This window comes from Homo sapiens, chromosome 1, assembly GCF_000001405.40.
Source record: "Homo sapiens chromosome 1, GRCh38.p14 Primary Assembly".
Lineage (NCBI taxonomy): Eukaryota > Metazoa > Chordata > Mammalia > Primates > Hominidae > Homo > Homo sapiens.
The window spans coordinates 23303366-23329922 of record NC_000001.11 but is presented as its reverse complement, the minus strand read 5'-3'; the positions used below and the strand labels follow the sequence as shown (position 1 = coordinate 23329922).

At 37.0% G+C, this 26557-nt stretch overlaps 1 protein-coding gene across 23 annotated transcripts in view; it reads left to right on the top strand.

Moving 5' to 3' along the window:
• HNRNPR (heterogeneous nuclear ribonucleoprotein R) overlaps positions 1 to 25235 on the top strand; it is a 39597-nt gene extending 14362 nt beyond the window's left edge. For 9 of the 23 annotated variants that reach the window (NM_001297622.2, NM_001102397.3, NM_001297620.2 and 6 more), the window contains 6 exons: positions 6191 to 6367; positions 8260 to 8395; positions 11235 to 11440; positions 16221 to 16370; positions 18601 to 18722; positions 18857 to 25235. In NM_001297622.2, coding sequence (NP_001284551.1) covers positions 6191 to 6367; positions 8260 to 8395; positions 11235 to 11440; positions 16221 to 16370; positions 18601 to 18722; positions 18857 to 19469 — 1404 coding nt within the window. In that variant the 3' untranslated portion in view covers positions 19470 to 25235. Of the gene's footprint in view, positions 1 to 6190; positions 6368 to 8259; positions 8396 to 11225; positions 11441 to 16220; positions 16371 to 18600; positions 18723 to 18856 lie in introns of all 23 variants that reach the window. The other 14 variants (XM_011540476.4, NM_001102399.3, NM_001102398.3 and 11 more) reach the window with 3 other exon arrangements.
• Positions 25236 to 26557: the final 1322 nt, after the last annotated feature.

Sequence of the window (26557 nt, the reverse complement as noted above, 5' to 3'; positions counted from 1 at the left end):
GTGGTGGCTCATGCTTGTAATCCTAGCATTTCAGGAGGCTGAGGCAGGAGAATCATTTGAACCCAGGTGTTTGAGACCAACCTGGCTAACATAAGGAGACCCTGTCTCTATAAAAAATAAAAAATTAGCCAGGCATGGTGGCATGCGCACAGCTATGGCCCTAGCTACTTGGGAGGCTGAGGTGGAAAGATCAGTTGAGTCTGGAGGTCACTACAGTGAGCTGTTATTGTGCCACTGTATTCCAGCCTGGGTGACGGAGCAAGTACCTTGTCTCAAAAAAAGAAAAGACTGTTGAATGACTTGGTTACTTCCTTTATTACTGTTGAAGTACTTGATGGATAAATTGTAGACAGCTAAAACTTTTTCTGGGTCTTCATGGCCAGTGAGTGAAGAAAGAAATGTTACTGTGGTATTCAGTAGATTCTGTTGGTTCTGAAAAGGGAGGAGGGTTACCTGAAGATGACTGAGTGCTTGCTCTGAAAGGGCTCACATGGATCCAGAATGACTCAGAGACTAAAAAGTTAATAAAAGGAAAGTATTCCTATTTCATTTTAGTTAATTAAAAATTGAGCTTAAAAACTTTAAAAGGAACAGTGCTGAATTAGTTTTTGAAAACTTTAGCCTTTTAAATTCTTTTTAGGTCCTAAGTTAAATTGATCTTGAAATGAAGATATTTCCTGTTTCTTAGATAAACCAGTGTTTTCGATTCGTGGTCTGTTTCTTCATGGACTCACGTGACTATAGTATTGGGGACTTTATTGGCCACAGATTTGTTGATGTTTCTTCTATATTTATTTATTTATAAAAACAAGATCTCACTCTTGCCCAGGCTGGAGTACAGTGGCACAATCGTAGCTCACTGCAACCTCAAACTCCTGGGTTTAGGGGAACCTCCTGCCTTAGCTTCCCAAGTAACTGGGATTACAGGTACATGGCACCACACTGAGCCAATTTTTTAAATTTTTTTATAGAGGCAGGGTCTCGCTTTGTTGCTCAGCCTGGTCTCAAACTCCTGGGCTCAAGCAATCCTCCTGCCTTGGCCTCCTCGAGAGTTGGGTTTACAAGTGTGAGTCACCATGCCCAACCCACACTAGGAAGTTGAGACTCATTGCTTAAGAAACTTGGCCGGGTGCGGTGGCTCACGCCTGTAATCCCAAAACTTTGGAAGGCTGAGGCTGGCAGATCACTTGAGGTCAGGAGTTCGAGACCAGCCTGGCCAACATGTTGAAACCCCATCTCTCCTAAAAATACAAAAATTAGTCAGGCGTGGTGGCACATGCCTGTAGTCCCAGCTACTCAGGAAGCCAACACAGGAGAATTGCTTGAATCTGGGAGGTGGAGGTTGCAGTAAGCCGAGATGGCGCCACTGCACTCCGGCCTGGGCGACAGAGCAAGACTCCATCTCAAAAACAGCAACAACAACAACAACAAAAAACGAAACTTGCTCAAGGTAACTAAAATGTAGATTTGAATCCAGTATAACCGAAAACTCACTGTTGCTCACATTCTTACCACCTTCATAGCTATCACCCTACTATACCAAGCCACTTTTCATCTCTTTCCCAGATTGCCCTGTTCACCTGACCAGTCAGCCTATTTCTCCATACAATCCATTTTCTACCCAATCGCTGAAATGTACCTTTTAGAACATAAGTCATACCCAGTCATTTTTCTGCTCTAAACTCTCTGATGGCTTCCCAACACATCTGGGAGCAGAAATGCCTAACCATGGTTTAACTTACTCTGGCCCCGTTCTCTGTTTTCCCACCACTGTCACTTTCATTCTAGCCATTGGCCTGTGTGCTGTTCTTCAGATATGTTGAGTGTACTCCCATCTCACATCTCATGGCCTTTTGTACCTGTTCCATCAACTTGGAATGCTCTTTCTTCAGACTTCTTTTTTCTTTTCTTTTTTTTTTTTTTTTTTGAGACAGAGTCTTGCTGTGTTTCTCAGGCTGGTCTAGAACTCCTGGCTGGCCTCAAGTGATACTTCTGCCTTGGCCTCCCAAAATGCTGGGATTATAGGCATGAGACACTGCCCCCTCACCTTCCTCAGGTTTTTACTTAATTTTCTCTTAGATCTCAGCTCAAATTTACCCCTGTAGGGAAGCCCTCCTAGTGAAAACTCAGCCCCATCATTTAGCCCCTTTTTCTGTTTTTTCCTTCTTCTTAACATTTAATACCTCTTAAAATCATATAATCACTATTTATTTATTTATTTATTTATTTATTTAAGACAGAGTCTCACTCTGTTGCATAGGCTGGAGTGCAGTGGCGTGATCTCCGCTCACTGCAACCTCCACCTTCCTGGTTCAAGTGATTCTTCTGCCTAAGCCTCCAGAGTAGCTGGGATTACAGGCTTGTGCCACCATGCCTGACTAATTTTTTGTATTTTTAGTTACAGACAGGGTTTCACCATATTGGCCAGGCTGGTCTCAAACTCCTGACTTAAAGTGATCTGCCCACCTTGGCCTCCCAAAGTGCTAGGATTGCACACATGAGCCACTGCGCATGACCCATATTGTTTACTTTTGTCTGTCTCTCTCAGTAGAATATAAACTTCATGAATGCCTAGACCTTGTCTGTGGTAGTCACTATATTTCTAGAATCTAGAAAAATATATGGCACATGAGTCCAAGGTATATCTAATTACTTGTCTCTTGAAAGATTTGTATTATACAAGTTCTGAGTAGGGTGGGAGCCATGTGTTTGTATAGGCTAGGCATTTACGTGGAGCAACTTCAAGCAGATACTTTAAAGATTAATTGGATATGGGTGGTAATGGGAGGAATTGAAAACATCTGAGATGTCTGTTTATGGAAGTAGTTCCTCAGTCACCTGGAGGTGGGGGCTAGGAGGGGAGAGAAACAGAAATTATATTCTTCTAAAGGTAGACGGGGGCAATCAGAGGAGCCAGTTGACAAGGCTGGGTTTTAATCATTTTGATTTTTAGAAAAAATCATTTGTTACAAACATGTCTTCATCATAGATTTCAAGGTATAAAGATGAGATTGGTATTCTGAATACTTCAGGTAAGAAAAGGTTTTGACGGTGGTAGTTGCATCACCAGTGTTAATACTTGTAGAGAAGGCAAGGATGATGAGAACTGAGGGGGAAAAATACTTTTATTTTTCTTCCTGAGACAGTTTCACTCTTGTCACCCAGGCTGGGGTGCAATGGCGCGATCTCAGCTCGCTGCAACCTCCGCCTCTCAGGTTCAAGCAATTATCCTGCCTCAGCCTCCCGAGTGGCTGGAATTACAGGTGCCTGCCACCATGCCTGGCCAATTTTTGTATTTTTAGTAGAGATGGGGTTTCACCATGTTGGCCAGGCTGGTCTTGAACTCCTGACCTCAAGTATTCCGCCCGTCTCAGCCTCCCAAAGTGCTGGGATTACAGGCATAAGTCACTGTGCCCGGCCTGGAAAAAGACTTGAATTTGGTTATTAGAAGTTTATTAGTGACATCTGGGTATACAGCTCGAGTTAGAGGAAGAAGCCAATTATAGAGGGTTAAAGAGAACATAGATGCTGTGTGCTTTTCTCAGTATGTTTTTGTTACAAAGATTGTTCTGCAGGGACATCACTTAAATCACATATAACAGTATCTTGTATCCCTAGTTGTGATGATGCCATAGATGTCTTGTTTCTACTTCTCTTTGGCTTCACGGTATTAAGCATGTAGTAGATGTGTTGAAAATAATAACTGTGTGAGTAAAAAAAAAAACGTACGGATGGCGTGTTCAAAACAGGCCGGGCGCAGTGGCTCACACCTGTAATCCCAGTACTTTGGAGGGCCAAGAAAGGAACAGGAAGATCACTTGAGTCCAGGAGTTTGAGACCACCCTGAGCATCATAGTGAGAGCCTCTCTCTTCCCCCAACCGCCACCCCCAGATATTAGCTGGGCATAGTGGCAAGAGCCTCTGGTCCCAGCTACTTGAGAGGCTGAGGTGGGAGGATTACTTGAGTCTGGGAGTGTGAGGATATAGTGAGCCATGATCATGCCACTGCGCTGCAGCCTGGGCGACAAGGTGAGACCCTGTCTCAAAAACAAACCAAACATTTATCAGTGAAAGGAAATAAATATAATACAATCTAAAGTAAGGGGTGTTTTGTTGTGTTTTGTTTTTGGATTGTTTGGAGACAGGAAGGAGCCAGTGGGAAGGGAAGGATGGTACTGAGCAAAATATGAGAGTTGAAGGAATAACGATTTGCAGTTATTTCCAGAAAGTGGTAAGAAGAAATGGGCTTATTTATTGTGGCTAAGGAGTTAACCTTAGAAAGGAGGTAGATCTCTTTCTCTGAGGTGCGATAGAAGTGAAAGTAGACATTGTGAGAGGTAAGAATATGAAGAAACCAATGACTTTCTCAGGTGATATCCTTAGAATGAGGTTTAGTGAATGAGGATTGGGGACCTTAAGGAGGTAGAAGAATTGCAATAACTATTGTGTGAGAATCATGCCAAGGAGTCAAAAGAATACCTCAAGTTTTACCAGATAGCAGTGAAAGTGAGTCTTGATTATTTTGGAAAGGATTATCTCTAGATAGTACATCTGTTGTAGAGCTTAACTTCAGAAACTTAATGTCCATAATAATGTCGGCATATTTTGGATTGGATTGCTATTATTACTTCTATATTTACCTATTATTCCAGCTATTTTTCAGACTGTGAAATGGTGATGTAGATGAGTTTCACTAGAAAATTTGTCATGCAAATACTAATTTTACTCATTCAGACTTTGTGGATTACAAATGTTTTAATATAAAATTTTTTGTTTTTTTTTTGAGATGGAGTCTCCCTCTGTTGCCCAGGCTGGAGTGTAGTGGCGCGATCTCGGCTCCCTGCAAGCTCCGCCTCCCGGGTTCATGCCATTCTCCTGCCTCAGCCTCCTGAGTAGCTGGGGCTACAGGCGCCGGCCACCACGCCCGGCTAATTTTTTGTATTTTTAGTAGAGACAGGGTTTCACCATGTTAGCCAGGATGGTCTCGGTCTCCTGACTTCGTGATCCGCCCGCCTCAGCCTCCCAAAGTGCTGGGATTACAGGCGTGAGCCACCGCGCCCGGCCAACATAAAACATTTTTAATGTTGCTTACATTGGAAAAACTTGAAGAAAATTGTAATCTGGTATCAAATGAGGGTTTTTGACTGTATAATTTTTAATTTATCATTGTATATTATAATTTAATCGTATATAATTTTGTAATTAAAGATCACAAATTCTTCAAATGGTGAAGAGGTTTTTTTTCATACCTTAAAATTTAATATTTAATATCTGGATAGAGAGAGGAATAGATTGAAGCACTGGAGTTTCTGAAAAATATTGAGATTGCTTTTTATTTATTTATTTATTTATTTAGAGATGGAGTCTTGCTCTGTTGCCCAGGCTGGAGTGCAGTGGCACGATCTCGGCTCGCTGCAAGCTCCACCTCCCGGGCTCACGCCATTCTCCTGCCTCAGCCTCCCAAGTAGCTGGGAGTACAGGCGCCTGCCACCATGCCCGGAGAATTTTTTGTATTTTTAGTGGAGACGGGGTTTCACCATGTTAGCCAGGATAGTCTCGATCTCCTGACCTTGTGATCCACCCACCTCGGCCTCCCAAAGTGCTGGGATTACAGGCGTGAGCTGCCGCGCCCGGCCGAGGTTGCTTTTTAAGTAGTAAAGATTTTAGAGTTGAGGAGATAACTTGAGGAGAGCTATGTCAATCTTTTATTCAATTATTTTATTTTTATTCATTTTTATTTTTAATTTATAAATTAATTTTTTAATTTTAAATAATAGAAATGGGGTTTTGCCATGTTGCCTAGGCTAGTTTTGAACTCCTAGACTCAAGTGATCCGCCTTCCTTGGCCTCTCAAAGTGCTAGGATTACAGGCGTGAGCTGCTGCGTCCAGCCTCCTTTATTCTGTTTTTATGAGAAAAAGTCAAGTTATAAAAATTTAAAATTTAGAGTAAATACAAATTTTACACTCTTATTAGTTTCCATTTTTCAAGAGACTTGTTCTTTGATAACCCTAAGGTCATTATAATAAAAATTAGGATTAGCTCTGCAAGTCAACTGTAAGTTTCAGATTGTTTCCATTCTTTCTTAACCATCTTCTTCTGCCCCCATCTTTAAAAAAAAAAGGCAGTAGGCTTTATGGCTCTAAAATCAAATGCTTATGTTGGATTCTAATAAGGGGGTTTTATTTCAGGTATTTGTAGGCAAAATACCAAGGGATTTATATGAGGATGAGTTGGTGCCCCTTTTTGAGAAGGCCGGACCCATTTGGGATCTACGTCTTATGATGGATCCACTGTCCGGTCAGAATAGAGGGTATGCATTTATCACCTTCTGTGGAAAGGAAGCTGCACAGGAAGCCGTGAAACTGGTATGTGATAATTATCCACTGTCTTAGCAAGTCACTATTTGAGGAAATAAACTTTAATTCAAAAATGTTTGTAGTTAACATTATTTTGATTTCTTCAGTTGTTGCTTGGAATGTTTTTATACTGACCAAGTTGGTATGTGACGTTTATTTTTCTCTGACTATAAAAGTAAAAAAGAACTGAAAATACCCAAAAAGTAATGTTTTATAGAAAGTCTCCCATTGATTTAAGAAGTTATCTATTAGATTGATATCAGAAGTTTCATATGAGTATTTGGCTTATGCATTTCTGTCTTTTGGTTTTAGGCAAAAGGATGTCAATTCTTGATGTTAAACTTTAGGATTCTTAAAGTATAATGAAGACTGGAATGGGCTGTGGGGAACATAATAGTGGATGACAGTGACTTAGGATTCAATTCAGAAAATAGTTGTGAATCTGTTTTATTTTGGTTACAGCCTACTCATACGATTTATTTCATATTTTCTAAGTGTATTTTTGTTCTTCCTGTATGTTTCTTGGCCCTTGAGTCTTCTCTGTCTTTAATCTTTCTCTCCTCTCCTACTATTTATAGCCAGTCTCATATTAATTTCCTTTCTCTAGGGCCTTTAACCACTTGGTGCTCATTTCAGACCAGTAGTAGTAGCAACAAAGTTCTGCAAATCAAATGTATCTTCACTCCTGCTGTATTTAAGACACAGCTATCTCAGTATCTTAAAATAACAATGTAATTATTTTTTGGCATACCCTTGCCTGACTTCTGAGGACCTCACTAAGTCTAGTTCTAGCCTTTGTAGAATGGTCAACTTCTTTCATCAAGGCTTTGGTTTCATTACTGGTGTCTGAATTAGTTCCACTCCTAGCTTGACCCAGATTTTAGTTTTTATTATGGATTTTTTCTTCAAACTTGTTTATTTAATATTAAGTTTTCATTTTTGGCAGCATATGGATGATTTTATTTTTAATAATCATATCTCTTAGTAAACTAATGGTTAAATAATATTAAAGTATAAGAAGCTAAAATTGGCCAGGTGTGGTGGCTCACGCCTGTAATCCCAGCACTTTGGGAGGCTGAGGCAGGCAGATCACCTGAGGTCAGGAGTTCAAGATCAGCCTGGCCAACGTGGTGAAACCCTGTCTTTACTAAAAATACAAAAATTAGCTGGGCGTGGTGGCGCACGCCTGTAGTCCCAGCTACTTGGGAGGCTGAGGCAGGAGAATCACTTCAACCCAGGAGGTGGAGGTTGCAGTGAGCAAAGATCATGCTACTGCCCTCCAGCTTGGATGACAGAGCGAGACTCCATCTTAAGAAAAAAAAAAAAGGGCTACAATTTATCAAGAAAATCCACTATAGTGATTTAAATAAAACATTTTTCAAAATTTTATAAAATTTTGAAAGTATTGTGTTTGGTAGACAATTTAAAACTATATATTTAGAATTCTGTGACTTCTGTAGAATTTGAAATTTTTCTAATATCTTTGCATTGATTAAACATAGTTGTTACCCTTTACATATTGTTATTTTGAGTATGGCTTACCTATATGCAATTACATTTCCAAGGACCCTGAATGATCAGTCTCAGGTATTTTTTTCTGAAAAATCTGTGGAAAAACATTTTCAGATAGATAAAATTAAAATATGAAATAAGATATTTTAAACAATAAAGTGAGTCCTTTTTATATGGAAGAGTAGTGAAGGTTAACAAAACCAAACTAAAACAAGAGACTGTAACAATGAAGTTTAAAATATACATTCATATTATGGAAAGCATGAGGGAACTTGGTGAGTTGATGAAGCAGGGAGCGTTTGGCCTTAAATTGTTGAATTTTTTAGATTAAGATCAATTGTCCTGAGTTTGGGGTGGTTTTGGGGTCTCTGGTTCTTTTCTTATTGCAGTGTGACAGCTATGAAATTCGCCCTGGTAAACACCTTGGAGTGTGCATTTCTGTGGCAAACAACAGACTTTTTGTTGGATCCATTCCGAAGAATAAGACTAAAGAAAACATTTTGGAAGAATTCAGTAAAGTCACAGGTAAAACAAAAATGTATTTAGAAATTACTTTTGCGAAATATGTTGTACTACTTACAAGTGCTCAAAAAAACTGAGGGGTTGTATGTATTAAATTAAGAATTCAGGTCTGAAGTATCTAAATTGCTTCCTTTCTGCTTTATAGTGGTTTGGGTTTAAGCAAGTTCCCTTATATCCTTCATTTCTTGGAATGTCCCCTTCACTTCTTTGTCTTAATTGAACCTTGGCTTTTGCTGGAGCTTTTGCTCTATAGCCCTCAAGTGAATGCTTTTTTTCCCCTTGACAATTAGTGTATTTTAGGACCAAGAGGATGAAAGTTTTTACTCTCTCCCTGCTGCCTTGTCTAGATCAGATTTTTTTTTTTTTTGAGACGGAGTTTCGCTCTTGTTGCCTAGGCTGGAGTGCAATGGTACGATCTCGGCTCACTGCAACCTCCGCCTCCTTGGTTCAAGCAATTCTCCTGCCTCAGCCTCCCGAGTAGCTGGGACTAGCATGTGCCACCACGCCTGGCTAATTTTGTATTTTTAGTAGAGACGGGGTTTCTCTATGTTGGTCAGGCTAGTCTAGAACTCCCGACCTCTGGTGATCCTCCCGCCTCGGCCTCCCAAAGTGCTGGGATTACAGGCGTGAGCCACAGTGCCTGGCTGATCAGATTTTTTTAAATATCCAATTCTAAATCCATGGAATTGATTGAGAAGTAGATTTTATATCACAGTTCTATACACATTTATATATAACTGAAACAATTTAACAAAACTGTACTTTTATTTATTATACATGATTTATTTTGATATTTCTTATTCTATTTCATTTTTTAAAATGCCAATTGTGATCTAATACTACCTATGATTTAAAAACACTGCGTTAGACCGCTGCCTCCCCTTGTAAAAACCACTGTTTCTTTACATTTTTATCATCCAGACATATCCTTTCCCTTTTGTTGAAGCTGTCATTCGTTGCTCTTGTGGTTTCAGCCTTTCATTAATCTAAAGATTGCTTCTGGCTCACTGTCTTCCTCTTCTGCCCTAAATTGGCTTCTTTCTAATACCTTTAACATCTACATTGGTGAACCATCCAGGGCTTTAGACTCCTACCTACTTCTATGTCTACCTCATCTTTAGTCCTTTACTTCAGCTCCACCATATCCAGATTACATTCTGGATCTAGTCACCAGAAATTCTATGCACTCTGAACTCTTGATTTCTAGCGTCCCACTTTGTAACCACTGCTACCACCCGCTATATTGTGTTGTCAAGTATTGTGTTGTCAACTGCTGGCACAGTTCTTTGACCTCATCACTTTATTATCTATAGCTCCTTCTGGCTTCATGATCATTTATTCATTCTTTCAGCAGGTGTTTATTAAAGTTCCTGTTAAGTGCTGGCATTGTGCTATGTGCCTGGGATACACTGATGGCTAAGAGACATATTCTCTGCTTTCATAGATCCTATATCCTGAGAAAGGAGATAAGACCAAGAATATAAAAAATAAAAATTAAAGGAATATTTAGACATTGTGATAAGACACTGAAGCAGGAAATACAGGATATTTAGCTAGAGAATAGCTACTATCCCTGTTTCCATGGTTTTGGAAGACTTTTCTGATAAGATGACATGTCAACCAGCACCTGAAGGATGAAGAGGTTGTAGCATACAAAGAGCAAAAGGAAGTGCATTCCAAGACAGCAACACGTGCCAAGGTTCCAAGGCAAGAAAGAAGTCAGTATATTACAGTAACTGAGGAGGCCAGTATTATTAAAAGGTAGAATTAGGAGTAGAGTTGTATGAAATGAAGTAGGCAGGGCTTCTGTAGGCCATGTAAGGAGTTGGGTTTTTATTGTATATATAATGAGAAGGTATTTAAAGGTTTTAAGCAGGAAATAACACCTATTTCTTGTTTATGGGATATTATTCCTAGCGCTCTGTGGATAGGGGCTTGGAGAGAAGGGGTGTGAGTGGAAGCTGATAAATTAGTTGAAGCTGTCATACTAGTACAGATACAGGATTAGACTAGGGTAATAGCAGTGGAGATAGAAAGAAGTAAATGAGTTTGGAATTGGATAGGAGAGATGAAGGAAGAAATCAAGAATGGCTAACCAATTTCTGGCTTCAGAACCAGGTGGATGGCACTGTTTATTAGATAGGAAGTCTAGGGAAGGCAGATTTTGGCCATGGTGGTTCAGTTTTGGAAAAGTTAAATTTGCAATGTCTAAGACATCAAAGAGGATACATCGGGTAAGAACGTAGGCACATCTAGAGCTTAGAGAAGTCTGGGGTAGGAAAAAAATCTAAGTATTTATAAGGGTATAGGTAACATTTAAAAGTAGGGCTAGCTGACATTATTTAGAAAGAACACATACGGAGAGATAAGGGCAAAGGACTAAGACCAGAGGAACACTAATATTTAGTGATCACTTCCATTCTTGGTAAAAATAGTAACTTTTAAGTTAGCTTCAAGGAAGATTTTTGGCCATGATTAGTTGTCAAAAGTTAGTTCTCTTGGGTTTATATTACTAATTTTGTTTTTAAGATCCTTGTTAGTGCTTTAATAAAGTCATGTTATATCAAACGCTCTAAAACATTGTAGCATGTTAAATGTCAGAATATAGTAGATTTGTTGTATATGGCTGTACCTTCAGAACCCCTAAAATTAAAAAGGAACATCAAATACTGTCCCAAACCCCATATCTAATTATGTTGATCTAATTGTCTACAAAATTAGTGACTCATGTTGAGGCTGCTTCACTTATATTTTGCTCATCGTCAAGTGGATTTAGGTCTGCCTAATCGCTAGATGTGTGGTGGATGCTTTTGGCTTATATATCTGGCTGTTGGTTTAACAGAGGGTTTGGTGGACGTTATTCTCTATCATCAACCCGATGACAAAAAGAAGAATCGGGGGTTCTGCTTCCTTGAATATGAGGATCACAAGTCAGCAGCACAAGCCAGACGCCGGCTGATGAGTGGAAAAGTAAAAGTGTGGGGAAATGTAGTTACAGTTGAATGGGCTGACCCTGTGGAAGAACCAGATCCAGAAGTCATGGCTAAGGTAAATACAGTTGCTTGGAATGGGCATAGGGTCATCATTTAAATTTTGTACTCAGAATAAAGCTCAAATATTTTGAGTTTTATGATAAATAGAAATTGTAGCTTTAGACTTCAACTGTTTGGCAAGGAGCGGCTTTAACACTAAAGTTAACAGCCTGTCTTGGTATCCAGGAATTTCCATTAACAATCCCTTTTCCTGCAGATTAAATGTGCAAAAGGAACTGAAATGAAATTCCTTCAATTAAGTAGTCCCATACACACTGGGTGTTTGTTTAGTGCTAGGCACTGTGAGGGATAGAGGTTTTTTTTTTTTTTAAAAGTCCTGAGTAAAGAGAGAAGTAATGTTTTGGAGATTATAAGTTATAATCTTCATTGACTATATTATGACTTTATTACTTGGCCATGAATTATGTTTTATTTAGATTTATAGCTAATTTTTCTTTTTTTAAGCTTTTTTTGTAGTTTTTATTTTTAAAAATATTTTATTTATTATTATTATTTTTTGAGACAGAGTCTTGCTGTGTTGCCCAGGCTGGAGTGCAGTGGTACGATCTCGGCTCACTGCAACCTCCACCTCCCAGGTTCAAGCGATTCTCCTTCCTCAGCCTCCCAAGTAGCTGGGACTACAGGCGCCTGCCACCATGCCCGGCTAAATTTTGTATTTTTAGTAGAGACAGCATTTCACCATATTGCAGGCTGGTCTCGAACTCCTAAGCTCATGATCTACCCGCCTTGGCCTCCCAAAGTGCTGGGATTAAGGCATGAGCCACCGTGCCCCGCCTCTTGTTTTTAAATGATCAGATTCCCTTAGTGTATTGTCCCCATGAAGAAAGGCAAAAGATTGTCATGTTTGCTCTTATTTGTTAGTGGCAAAATATGCATGGCAAGTCCTGTAAAGGGCCCTCAATTCCCTCCTGATTCCTGTACTTGCGTTGCCAGGATCTTAATAGTGGTGCCTTGAGTACTGGTTCTTAAGTTTTCCTTTGGGCGACTCCTGGGACACATCAGAGTTGCATTTCTTTTTTTTTGAGATGGAGTCTTGCTTTGTCCCAGGCTGGAGTGCAGTGGCGCGATCTCCACTCACGGCAAGCTCTGCCTCCTGGGTTCACGCCATTCTCCTGCCTCAGCCTCCCAAGTAGCTGGGACTACAGGTGCCCGCCACCACAGCTGGCTAATTTTTTGTATTTTTAGTAGAGACGGGGTTTCACCATGTTAGCCAGGGTGGTGTCCATCTCCTGACCCTGTGAACCGCCCGCCTCGGCCTCCCAAAGTGCTGGGGTTACAGGTGTGAGCCACTGCGCCCGGCCTCAGAGTTGCATTTCTGCTGCTTGCAATGAGCTCTTGAGCATTTTAGTTGTCTCTTCCCTTCACAGGGAGGCAGCAACTCTGAATGGCCATGAGTTAATGGTTGGATTCTTCTTGATAAGTCAGAAGTCAAGGTTTTTATTCCAGAATTTGAGGAGGCAAACCCTCGTTCTAAGTAGTTTGGAGGAGAACTCTGGTTTATACTTGTATAAAGTCTGGGTTGGCAGTGACATCTTTGGGTTAATCAGATAAGTTCTATTCAGAATGAACCAGAGAGGCTCTCAGAAGTGCTACTCAGTATCTTTTATCTCATATTCCTTGAGTAGATGGGTGTCTAGGAAAGGGATAGAGAATTTAAATAGCTCTGAGTTTTTATTTTGATTTTTTACTAGCTTGATTTTAATTCCTATTGTTTCTTCTCCTAATACAACTATGACTTTGGGTAAACTACTGAACATGAATGTCATCTATTTTATTGAGCCTGGATCAATCTCTAAGATCCACCACAACTTTGAATCTACCTGTAGTAACTAAGTATAGCCTGTATTACTTTTTCTGTAAAAATATTTTAAAATAGTATTATAGATGTATTATAATAGAGGAATAAAATATTATAAAAGAGGAATAAAATCCCATGAAAACCAAAAGTATAGCTTGTAATTTGCTTACCAGCCACTTCTCACATAACCTTTAGTAACTGCTCAGATGGAAGTTCATCCTAATCTTTTTTTAGGGTTAGAAAACTTCAAGATTTCATTCTGGTAACTCCTTTTTCCTAGATCTAAAACAGGTTTCAGAATGAAAAGGAGGTCTCTATAAACTTAGGATTAAATATTATGGAGCCCTTTATTGTTTCTTTTTTTTAAAAGATGGGGTCTCATGTTGCCCAGGCTGGAGTGCAGTAGCTGCCCACATGTGCAGTCATAGCACACTGCAGCCTTGAACTCCTGGGCTTAAGCGTCCCTCCTGCTTCAGCCTCCCGGGTGCTTGCAACCCCATCCAGCTCCTTTATTGTTTCCTAATTGAAAAGAAAAGTTTATCCATTTGAGTAAAGCTTCTGTTATTCACACTATCAATTTACAATTCACTGAAGATTTTTTTTGCCAAGTTGGGTCAGTTTTACAATGTACCATAACCTAAAAGCCTAAATATATGTCTCTTAAAGGGACCCTTTTTCCTGTTGAACATTTTAAACACAATTTCAGTAAGTAATTTTCACATAGTATGTTATCGTTTCATCATAGAAAAGTCCATGTTGAATTTTTTTTAAAAAGCAACTAAACCAGTGGGAGTCTGTGTAACATAGAGGCTGGACCTTAGTATGACAAATTGAGAATAATAAAGGGGATGGAGCGTTTGTGGAAAATGTTAGTTTTTTTCCTCCTTAAATTAGTATCTTCTTATTAGATAGCCCTTTATCTGAAGCAACAATTTGTTCAATATGTTAGTTTTTTATTTGGATAGGTACTATGTTTTCTTAGTTCAAAAGTTATATAGAAAAGTATAGACAAAGAAATTTCCTTTCTACCCCTATCCCTGTGTCTACCAAATCCCCTTTGTCTCCTATAAGGCATCCAGTTTTAATAGTTGCTGGTTTCCTTTTAGTATTTCCTTCGGCAAATATGGATATACTTCCTTAATTCTTAGATGAGTGGTAGTAATGTTGGTAGCCTACCATATCCACTGATCTACCTTTTGTTTATTCACCATCCTGTTTCATCAGCTCTGAGGAAATACATCATTACTATATGTACTACTAAATAGTTAAAAAACACTGCCAACTAAACTATGGCACAGTACTTGCTTATCACATTGACTGTAAGTTGTCCTATCCTACAACTCATAGAGCTCCTCTTCATTTTTTGGGTTTTTGTTTTTTTTTTTTTTTTTTTTTTTTTTGAGACGGAGCCTTGCTCTGTCACCCAGGCTGGAGTGCAGTGGTGTAATCTTGGCTCACTGCAGCCTCTGCCTCCCGGGTTCAAGTGATTCTCCTGCCTCAGCTTCCCGAGTAGCTGGGGTTATAGGTGCCTCCTACCACGCCCGGCTAATTTTTGTATTTTTAGTAGAGACAGGGTTTCACCATGCTGGCCAGGCTGGTCTTGAACTCCCAACCTCAGGTGATCTGCCCACCTCGGCCTCCCAAAGTGCTGGGATTACAGGCGTGAGCCACCGCGCCCAGCCCTCTTCTTCATTTTTTATGACTACATAGTAGTCTATTCTGTGGAGGTACTATAGTGTATTTAACCAGCTGGATATTGTTTCTAATCTTTTGCTCTTACAGTGCTGGAAGGAATAAGCTTATGTTAGTTGATACAAGTGGAGATATATCTGTAGGATAGATTCTTAGGGGTAGAATTGTGGGCCAAAGGGTAGATATATCTGTAATTGTTAAGATACTGCCATATTCCTTTCTGTAGGAGATACACTATTTTACATTCCTACCAGCAAAATACAAGAGAATTATTTTCCTCATTCTTGACAAAATAGTGTATAATCAAACTTTTGAATTTTGCCAGCCTGATAACAAATGTCTCAGTGCCATTAATGATTAATGATTTGCTTCTCTTACTATGAATGGTTTGAACTTTAAATATATTTTAAGAGCCATATGTGTTTCTGTGTATGAACCATGTATTCAGGAATTTTGCCTATTTTTCTATTCAGTTGTTGAGCTTTTTGTTATTTTCTGGTGCTCTGATATAAAAGAGAGATTAGCTGTTTGTGATACATGTTGCAAATTTTTCATCCATATTTATTGTCTTTGCTTATAGTATTTTTTTGCCATATAGAAGTCATTTATTTTTAGTAGTTGAGTATAACATTCTTATGGCTCCTAGATTTTAAGTCATAAGGTCATCCCCACTCCAGTGTTATATAAAGGAATCATTCTTGTTCTAAAATTTCACAGTCCTCCCTCCACCCTTTTATTATTTAAATTTTCAATCTATTTGGAGTTTATCCTTGTGTATAGTGTAAGGCATGGACCAGCTTTTCTCCTTTTTTTCTAATTTAACACTACCTGATTTAATGATTTAAGCATTATAGTTTGTTTATATTTGGTAGGGCCAGCCTCTAAATTTCACTCTTTTTTTTCCTGGTTATTCTTGCTTATTTATTTTTTCATATGAACTTTTGAAAGTTACTCAGTTTTAGAGGAAAGAAACAGAAAAACTTGTTTTGAAAGGGACTTTTTGTTGATTAACTTGGTAATAATAATTATGTGTTGGTTCCTTGAAGGTTCTACTCAGTGTTAGGTGCTTTAATGACAACATAGGAGAAGGCAGGAACCAATAATTTTTGTAAATTGGTGACTGATATCAGTGTCATTTTCCTAGCAATTTCTCTTACTACCTGTAACAACACTTTTAGCACTTAATGTTTTAGAGGAGAAAAGCTATGCTATGAAGACAGGAAGAAACACTTTTCAGGTAAAATTAAGTAGCCAATGACGGTTTTGTTTATTTGTTGCTTACTAGGTAAAAGTTTTGTTTGTGAGAAACTTGGCTACTACGGTGACAGAAGAAATATTGGAAAAGTCATTTTCTGAATTTGGAAAACTCGAAAGAGTAAAGAAGTTGAAAGATTATGCATTTGTTCATTTTGAAGACAGAGGAGCAGCTGTTAAGGTAGGAATTTTGAAATTTTGGTTCTTGATATTTGAATTTTGTTTTTGAAACTTGCCAAACACAAAGTAACTTTAAAAACTGAAACAATATTGGTTGTCAGCTTTTGCTGAACTCTTTCTATTTAATCTCTGTAAAGTGGTAATAGTATGTAACAGATAAGACTCCATATTTCAAAGCCAGGTTATTACTGAGTTTGTGATCTTAGGCAAGTTATTTTTAATCTCTGTATTGTTTTGTAAGATTCGATAGCATGATGCCTTGGAAGTATTACAAGGTATAAAAATTAGCTGCTGTAAACACTGAATAGGTAATGAATGCATTATAACTACTTAGTTGACCTCAGTTTGTGTACCTATGAAGGAAACTGAGTGGTGTACATGACTCATACAGTATACCATGTTTAATTGAGTAGATAGATTTTGAGGGTATGATTAGTTTTACCTTTATTTAATCATTTTAGAGTTAAAATAGCATTCACTATGTTTTACTGATTTCGGTAATTGTTAGAGATATCACTTGTGTATAATAGTTGATTTAGTCTTTGATGATAATGAAAAGTTTGAAGAAAGTATTTTCATATGGTATCTGGAACACAAAACCTGCTTTCTATCGACAATGGTTTAGGACTATCTTTAATGGGTGAAATTTTCAGTTTCTTTTTTTTATTCATCTCTCCTTCCTTGGGGGGGTGGGAGCAAGACAAAACACTACTAAAATCTTATTTATGTTATTAGGAAGATAGATCCAGAATGCTTAGTGACACAGGCATGGTTCTTTTTCTGCATGTTTGGTCGGTGGGATACTGCCATCTCTAATCTGAGCATTTTTTGGTTTTGTTTTTTGCCCAGGCTACTGCTTTTAAAACAGGCTTTATAGAATCCCTGATTGGTTTATAATTAATTGGCTTGCTCATTGATGGTAGCTAATTAATGAGGCAGTATTGTTCATAAAATTCATAACTTGTCCAAGATCACAAACTCAGTAATAATCTGGCTTTGAAGTATGGAGTCTTATCTGTTATGCTGTTATACTCTTATCCGTTCATTTGTGGCTTCTGAAATTTCACTGGTATAGAATGCAGATAACTAATAATTTTATGCTGTCTAAATATTCCTCCTGACTCGACTGGTTTCAAATAACTGGTTGTCCTGATTGAAAATATTTATAGGATGGTTTGCCAAAGAAGCCTATGAAATTATAAAATATCTAGTCCAGGAACTGGGAGTCACCAGGATGGTCAGGGCAGAGGGTAGATGTTTCATTTTTTAATTTATGCCAGGAAGCTTTTGTAAACTTGTTTAGTTGCTTTAACTGAAGCAACGCAAAGCTGAGGTGGTAAAAGGGAAAATTGCAGTCTTGAGGACTAGTTTCGTTTTTGTCTAGATACTTATAAATCACTGATAGCTCCAATAGAACATTTTTTTATGTGTGCCCAGAGTGGGGAAAGGTATAGGGAAACAAAAAATAAAATATCATGAGGAGGTGACATTTTGTTACTGAGTACCTGAACCTTTTGATGTATGGCAGAGGTTGTTAGGTGGAACAACGTGAACAAAGGGCTAGAACATGGAATGTTTGATTACTGCTTTCTACATAATTGCTTGAGTCTTCATTAGTCCAGGCCTTTTCTGGCTCTGTACTTTTAACTGTTCAAGCAAAGTACATTTTGGGTTAAGCATTGTGAGGGAAACCTAGGCTTTTTTGTGTTAGTATCTTCTTGAATTTTACAGATAATCTCACTCAGTAACCTCATTTGTGCTTCAAATCCTTGAAATTGTCGTATAAGAACAGTGGAAGACCTGTATGTTGTATGCTACATGTTTATTTTAAAATTCTAATCCTGAGAAGTTAATCTTTGTCTGGCTCGTATTAATACTGGCATTTTTCCCCGGTATGGATTTGCTTCTTTGGTATGGCTTATCTTTTAAGGAGTTATTTGGAATTAAGGAGCAGCAATAGGTGGCAGCCCTTTTACCTTTTAAAATATAATATCAGGTGGTCGGTTTTGTTCTAAATGTAATTTATGTATAAAAAGATAAGGTCAAGGGAAACGTATTTTCTTTGTGTGTTTGTGTTTAACTTTCTGGCTAGATTCACCTTTTGCCATTTAAAATAATTGTGAAGTAAATTGTTAAGTGTATTAAATTACACAAGTATAATAGCTTACATACTATATAAAACAAAATACAGTTTTATATCGTTGTAAAATAATTTTTCTAATTTTTTATAGGCTATGGATGAAATGAATGGCAAAGAAATAGAAGGGGAAGAAATTGAAATAGTCTTAGCCAAGCCACCAGACAAGAAAAGGAAAGAGCGCCAAGCTGCTAGACAGGCCTCCAGAAGCACTGCGTGAGTCTACATTTTAGTAGATATATCTTTGGACAAGGAATAACGTGATAATGGAGATCAGATTAATAAAACAAAATCAGAGTCTTGAAGCAAACTGATTTGTTTTTTCTTTTCTCCCTTCTCTACTTTGCTAGGTATGAAGATTATTACTACCACCCTCCTCCTCGCATGCCACCTCCAATTAGAGGTCGGGGTCGTGGTGGGGGGAGAGGTGGATATGGCTACCCTCCAGATTACTACGGCTATGAAGATTACTATGATGATTACTATGGTTATGATTATCACGACTATCGTGGAGGCTATGAAGATCCCTACTACGGCTATGATGATGGCTATGCAGTAAGAGGAAGAGGAGGAGGAAGGGGAGGGCGAGGTGCTCCACCACCACCAAGGGGGAGGGGAGCACCACCTCCAAGAGGTAGAGCTGGCTATTCACAGAGGGGGGCACCTTTGGGACCACCAAGAGGCTCTAGGGGTGGCAGAGGGGGTCCTGCTCAACAGCAGAGAGGCCGTGGTTCCCGTGGATCTCGGGGCAATCGTGGGGGCAATGTAGGAGGCAAGAGAAAGGCAGATGGGTACAACCAGCCTGATTCCAAGCGTCGTCAGACCAACAACCAACAGAACTGGGGTTCCCAACCCATCGCTCAGCAGCCGCTTCAGCAAGGTGGTGACTATTCTGGTAACTATGGTTACAATAATGACAACCAGGAATTTTATCAGGATACTTATGGGCAACAGTGGAAGTAGACAAGTAAGGGCTTGAAAATGATACTGGCAAGATACGATTGGCTCTAGATCTACATTCTTCAAAAAAAAAAATTGGCTTAACTGTTTCATCTTTAAGTAGCATTTTGCTGCCATTTGTATTGGGCTGAAGAAATCACTATTGTGTATATACTCAAGTCTTTTTATTTTTCCTCTTTTCATAAATGCTCTTGGACATTATTGGGCTTGCAGAGTTCCCTTATTCTGGGGATTACAATGCTTTTATCGTTTCAGGCTTCATTTTAGCTTCAAAACAAGCTGGGCACACTGTTAAATCATGATTTTGCAGAACCTTTGGTTTTGGACAGTTTCATTTTTTTGGATTTGGGATAGATTACATAGGAGTATGGAGTATGCTGTAAATAAAAATACAAGCTAGTGCTTTGTCTTAGTAGTTTTAAGAAATTAAAGCAAACAAATTTAAGTTTTCTTGTATTGAAAATAACCTATGATTGTATGTTTTGCATTCCTAGAAGTAGGTTAACTGTGTTTTTAAATTGTTATAACTTCACACCTTTTTGAAATCTGCCCTACAAAATTTGTTTGGCTTAAACGTCAAAAGCCGTGACAATTTGTTCTTTGATGTGATTGTATTTCCAATTTCTTGTTCATGTAAGATTTCAATAAAACTAAAAAATCTATTCAAAACATTACCTATTTCAAATTCAATTGTGTCCTAAAACATTATTTTATTCGTAATCCTTGCAAGGAATATTGTTTTCAAAGTATAACTGCCTATGTGAGTGATCAAATTCATGCAAAATTTCTTGTTTATTCCAACATGTGTTGTGGATATTAGACTGAGGATTAGTCTAAATTCAAGTATTTATTCCAATTAGCACTTTCATTGATTGGTGTTCTCTCATAGTCTCTTCTAATTTTGAAATTTTATCTTTTATTAAAAAAAAAAAAACAGGTTCATAGACTTTTGAGCATTCTTGCAGGCATTGGATAATTTGCATTAAAACAAATAAAATGTGGCTGGGAAAGCAGACTGCAATTTATTTTGACCCACATTCTTTATAAGGGATAATTTGTGACTGAAGACCTTATTTGCTGGATAAGTGAATGTACATACAGGGAAAATTGTTAGTACTGTGGCGTCAATTGCACTGCGGACTTTAGTTTTAGTGAAAATGATCGTGACTACCATTTCAGTTACTGGTTTAGGAATATAATTTCCTATTACTATGTAAATTTGCTTTGAGAAACATTCATGCCTTGTAAGAGAGGCTTAAAAATATCCAGTAGTAATACCTTTGACTTTCTGTTAACACTTCGTTTATTTTTATTTATCTGCTATCCCTGATGCCCAAATTTTTTGTTGGCCAAGACATAACATCTATTTCCCTATTTCCTTTAGAAATTCTGATTTATTCTAATGACTTTTTTGCTTGAGAATGAGAGGAACAAAAGAATCTAAGCTTTACGGTACAGAAAAGTGAATCACTTTCAAATTACTATTAAGTTTTCCCCTCCATCTTATTCTTACGTGGTTCTCAAATGTTTTTATAATGATAAAAATATCAGAAGCCATTGGGGAATAATTAAAATGGATACACCATTATTCTGTGTTTTGTTCCTGTTTGGTGTCTTTGTGATAGGAATATTAGATTTCAAAATCATAAGCCACTTAATTCCGTGTAATCTTGGCTAGATCATATTGGGTTTCATGGCTTCTTTTCATTTCAATTTAAGATTACTATTTACTGATGAAAGTCAATATATTTCATTTCTTTTTCAAAGTACACTCATTACACAGTATAGTCATTTAACAGACCTTATTGATATTTTAGTTTTTTGGAAACTGATAAAGGAATTATGGTCTGTTGTATGATAGTTTTGAGTTAACATGGGTATTTCTTTGGTAAGACAGATCCAGTTGTTTTTCTTATGCCCATGTATGCAAGTAAAGACACCAAACATTCTTTAAATGCTGCTTTTAAACTTTGAAAGTACAATTTGAAGTTGTAACTATACATCTAATTAGACTTAAGTAAAACCCTGATTTTTTTCCTGGAAAGAACAAAATCTACAAATAAAATTTGAGTTGTTTGTATTTCTTAATTAGGTGTTACAAGCTACAAAGTTGTCATAAAGAATGCTAAGAATGGGGATAGAAATGATTCTGAGAAAACAAACCCTCGCAAAAACATAAGATTAAAACTTGGGTTCCATGTCAAAATCCTTTCCTTTAATTGCAAATTATATTTTGAATTTTAAAGTGGCCACCTCCTCCTCTGTCCTTTTCACTAATTAAAAATATATTTGCAGAGGTACCCTCTAATATTTGGTTTATAGGTTTTGTGGCTATTTTAAATTGTAAAGCATAATCCTATAAACATTAAAACTCAAGAGCTTTTCTTCTTTCATGTCTTGTAAATTAACACTGTAGCAGCATTCAGAGAAAATAGATTCAGAGCTCAACTTTTCACATAAATAAATCTAACAGTGTAATATATAAACCTGAAAAATGTCAGTTGAGGGAGGTCTTTATTCTAGATTGGCATTTTTTTTTTTTTAAATTAGGTACAAATTATGAGTGTAAGGAATTTGGTTTCCTGCTCTCCTGTCTTTCCATCTTTTTTGTTCCCCAAGCTAATTGATTTGGCTTTATTTATGAGCCTGTTACAGTAAAGTGTGTGTTGGGAAATATATTGAGGTATAGAGCTATTCTTTGTAGGTACCCTGGTGAGACCGATACAAATATGCCCCTCCCCATAATGGAATACTAATTTTTATTTGATCACTCATTTATAGCAGTTGCTTAAATGTATGTATTTATATGAAGGTATTTTAATTTTTAAGAGCAAAAAAGTTCTAATAAGTTGCCAGATTTCTAATAAATGCAGGTTTATTTGGTGAAAAGATAAGGAAAATGAGTTATGATTCTGTAGTTTTTTTAAAATGAGTTCAGCATAATTGTTTTTCAGGTTTTTTTAGTTACTGGGGTTATTCTGCATAAGAAAGCCCAATGCTTTCTGATAGTAGGAGATAATTTTTCTCTCTTTTGACTTTGAAATCTGACTTAGGAGATGAATTCTTTTTAAAAAGGTCAGCATGCAAAAAAATAAATTATATATTTTAAATTCTAAAAGAGAAGGGACATAAAATTTCACTCCTAGCATAAAGCCATATAATATTATTCTTGAAACTCATTACATCATTTGCCTCCTGCCCATTTGAATATAATCATACCTACGTTTTATTAATTGTGCATTTGTAAAACCAAACCCTTCCAGTAAATACTTGCTATAAGGCTATTGCTTGTCAATTATCAAGGCTTCTAAATATGTTAAAACTTGTCATTTTGATTTTTCAAAGATAATTTTATTATACTGAGCTACCAATATTCTTAAAGAAAACTAACCAAAGTTAATATTAGTGTAGTCCATTATTATGTGGACAATTATTATGTGGAATCTCTTAAGTGAGCAACTAAGAAAAAGCCTTATAGAAAGACTACACTGGATTTATAAGTGTGTTTATGTTTCTCTAAGAATGGGAGCTTCTGTTAACTTAGGGGTGGAGTTGTTCTGAGGAAACCAGTAGATTGGATGACTGACTGGAGAATCCAGAATAACAAATCCATTAGCCAGACATGTTTACTTTTATATTAGAAGTTTGTTGATTAGGTCTTAATTTTCAAACGCAAACACCAAGCTTTAAAAATATTGCATATACAATGTATTGGTCAGCAATTTAATAATATTTAATTTGAAGTTAATTATTGTTAATCCTTCTAGAAAAGTTTTTTTTCTTTAAATAAAAGTACATATATATACTTTTTTATTTAGAGGTTACCAGAAGCTCTGGTTTTGTTTTGTTTTGTTTTGTTTTTTTGTTTTTTTAATCATTTTCAGATGTTATCCAGAAATCTGCAAGTGTACTTTTCCTGTTTTAACTCCTTCCTTTTATCACCTGACTATCAGGGAAGCGAGGTTGAGGCTGCCCTGACCTGACATGTCATGATGTCGACTTGCTAGGTGGGGTTCGCTGGGGACGATAACCAGTGGAATTGTTGGTAAGAACTTTTTTTTCCTATTTTTTTTTTTATCAGTAGTGGGGCATTAAGTGTGGGAGAATGCCCATATCCTATAAGTGGGCAATTATGTCAGCCTTGTAGAAAAATAGGACTTTAATATTAAATTATTTTGTTCTTAATAGGAACATATAATAACACTTCACTTACTTTTAAATTGGTAGCAGATCAGCAGGAAAGGCCTGCAAGTATGAAGTAATGAAATACTCAGGGTATATTTTAAGTGAGCAAAATAGACACCTTATAATCTTAAAAAGTCTCTTGGAGAGACAATAAATTTGCTTTAACTGTCATTTCAGTCTAGTATTATATTTTCTATATTTTGTTGGATAGATTAACATATAATGCATCTTAAAGAGATATTTATTGCACACTAATTTTAGTGAAAACAAGAAGACATTGATAGAATGGAGGGCTTAAACACCAAAGATACTATTTTTAAAAATCTTCCAAAGTAATCTTAACACTGTAAAATGAAACTTTAAAAAGTTTTAGCAGTTTGACAATAATGGCCTCAATTTAGAGATATGTTGAGACAATGACTTTGGGTCAAGAGGAAATTACATAGCTGAAATATTAAGACCTTGAACATAGCAGAAACATAAACCTATGAACAACTTGTGTTTTGTGTGAAAGCTAGGGTAGCTGATAGGATTAGCAGATATTGGTAGAATTAAGAGTCAATATTTAAATTATTGCTAAAGATTAAAATCCCTCATCTTATAGTTTGTAGGGGATTCCATGATGGTAAGGTATAGATTGAAATTAAATTTAGTAACTAGGCATTTCTGACCATACCATATAAAAAATAATTGTAATATGGTATAAACACTGATTAAAAGTAATTATGGATTTTCATGCCTGAAGAACCTTCTCAGTATTCTTACAGCACTGTATCTTCTTTATTGGTTGAGAATATCAGTCTAGAAAGACTTTCCTAGATGTTAAATGTGCTAGTCAGTGTCATGAATATAAACCCTTACTTGTAAGTTTGCTATAGACTAGTTGTACAACACTAGAATGAAATTATGTAATACTTTTAAGAATTGTAGTGATTGCAGGGTTGTGTTAAGGTAACATTTTATGCATGTGTCAGTGACAGAAAGGATCAGGGTATAAAACTTAGCACTAAATAGCATGCTCCTTAGGAAGTTTTAAGGTAAGCAGTAGGAATATTCATGTAATTCTGATGAGTTTATGTAAGTTAAGGAAAATGCAATGCCAGTTTGTTGACTTTAAACACTAAAAACAAAATACATTTTGTGGAACCAACAAAGGAGACATTCTGGGGAAAAACTTAAATTGCTCAAATTTAAATAAGGGCTCTCACTTTATATAGTAGATTTGTCAGGATCCCATGAACATTGCTTTTCTTGATTTCTCACATATGAGGGTTGGGCAAAAGGGACTTCTCTAGCCTCTTCGATAATGTAGGTAGACTTGTACTTAGTGAATCCCATTATAATGTTAGGTACTATGTTCTAAGACTATTTCTATAATTGGACTGAAGGCTCCTGCAAACATAAATTGCTGATATGGATATAGTAACATAAGAAATACCAAAATAGGGACATTTGCAAGACCTTTTCCATTTAATCATCAGTTTAATAAAAATCATGCTTTTGGTACAGTGTTCATGTACCATAACTGTATTGGAATATTTGTACGATGTTAAATATTTTTAATAAAATTTAACATGTTCAAAATGTTGTGTTGGTGATTTTGGGTGGGGTGTGATGGGTTTGATTGTGCAAAACAGATTTAGTAGTTATGTGATTTAGGCTTTTGTAGTTAAATGGAGTTTCTGTCTTCAAATTTAGTACTAGATACTGTACCTGTTCTAAGGAAGGTAGTGAAGGAGTAGGATAGTAAAAATGAAAAGGCTGAACTCCCCAGAGATTTATTAAATTGCCAGGAAGCTTGACTGAGGTTAGAACTAGATCTACAGGTGGCAGATAGGAATATTGGCTGTGGCATAACAGGCTGCCAATAGCGTTTTTGTGAGGAAATTGTGGCATTTTGGAAATGATCCTAGAGAATCTACAGAGGTGGGCAAACGTAAACACTTGTACAGTGCTTTCAGTAGGCTTTTTATTGCCCCAGTGCCCTTGTGCCCTCGATGTGACATGCCACAAGTGAAGGAGAAGTGGTGAGGGGATTATTTGAGGAAAGCTTTGTTGGACAGTTTGGATGCATCATCGGGAGATACTGCCAATTTACAGGAAGTACTGTATAAAGAGTTCTCTCTTTGTGTCTTAATTTTATAAGATTTCCTCTTCTCTTGCAGGTAGCCCTAATACAGTGGTTTTTCTTATGACTTATTTTTCTTGAGGGTGTACTTCGTTTCTCACCAGTCAAAAACATAGAAGTTCTGCAACTCAGAATGGAAATTCACTTGAAGTAATGTGTGATTCCTCTGTAATCAGTGCCATTAATAGCAAAAAATATTTAAAAGGAAGATGATTGGGACCTAATAGTCTATAAACAAATTGAGTAAGAAAGCATTAAGAAGGACTAGTAATGTATTCTGCCTTGTTTCTTTCAAATGAAGACTGTTAAACTGAGTTACGGGGAAGAAAAAGTGAATACCCTATTGTTTCAAGGTAATAAAGAGTAAACAGTATACTTCCTTTTGGTTAGTGTTTTCCAGAATTTACTGTTCTTGTTGTGTTATGTTCTTTTTGTTCCAAGATCAAAAGATCACTCACTGAAACAGGAAGGAATGTTCTAACAGCAGAAATATCTAAACTTGGGCATCTTTAGATGTTTGCAGAATGGGAGGTGGAATGAAAGGTGGGGCAGCTCACTGATTTGCGATGTATTTCTTCCAAAAATAAAGGGTTGCTTAAGCTTTAGCTGTACCAAAAGCCCCGAATTTATTTAGTTTAGTTTTAGAAATAACAAGATTTTGTTAGGTATTTTCCTGTGGAGTATATTATATTCACCTAGGGAGATATCTTCTGTCTATAGCTATGAAAAGAAATTAAATTTCTATTTCCTTGTAATTGAAAGTTGTGACCAAAATCAA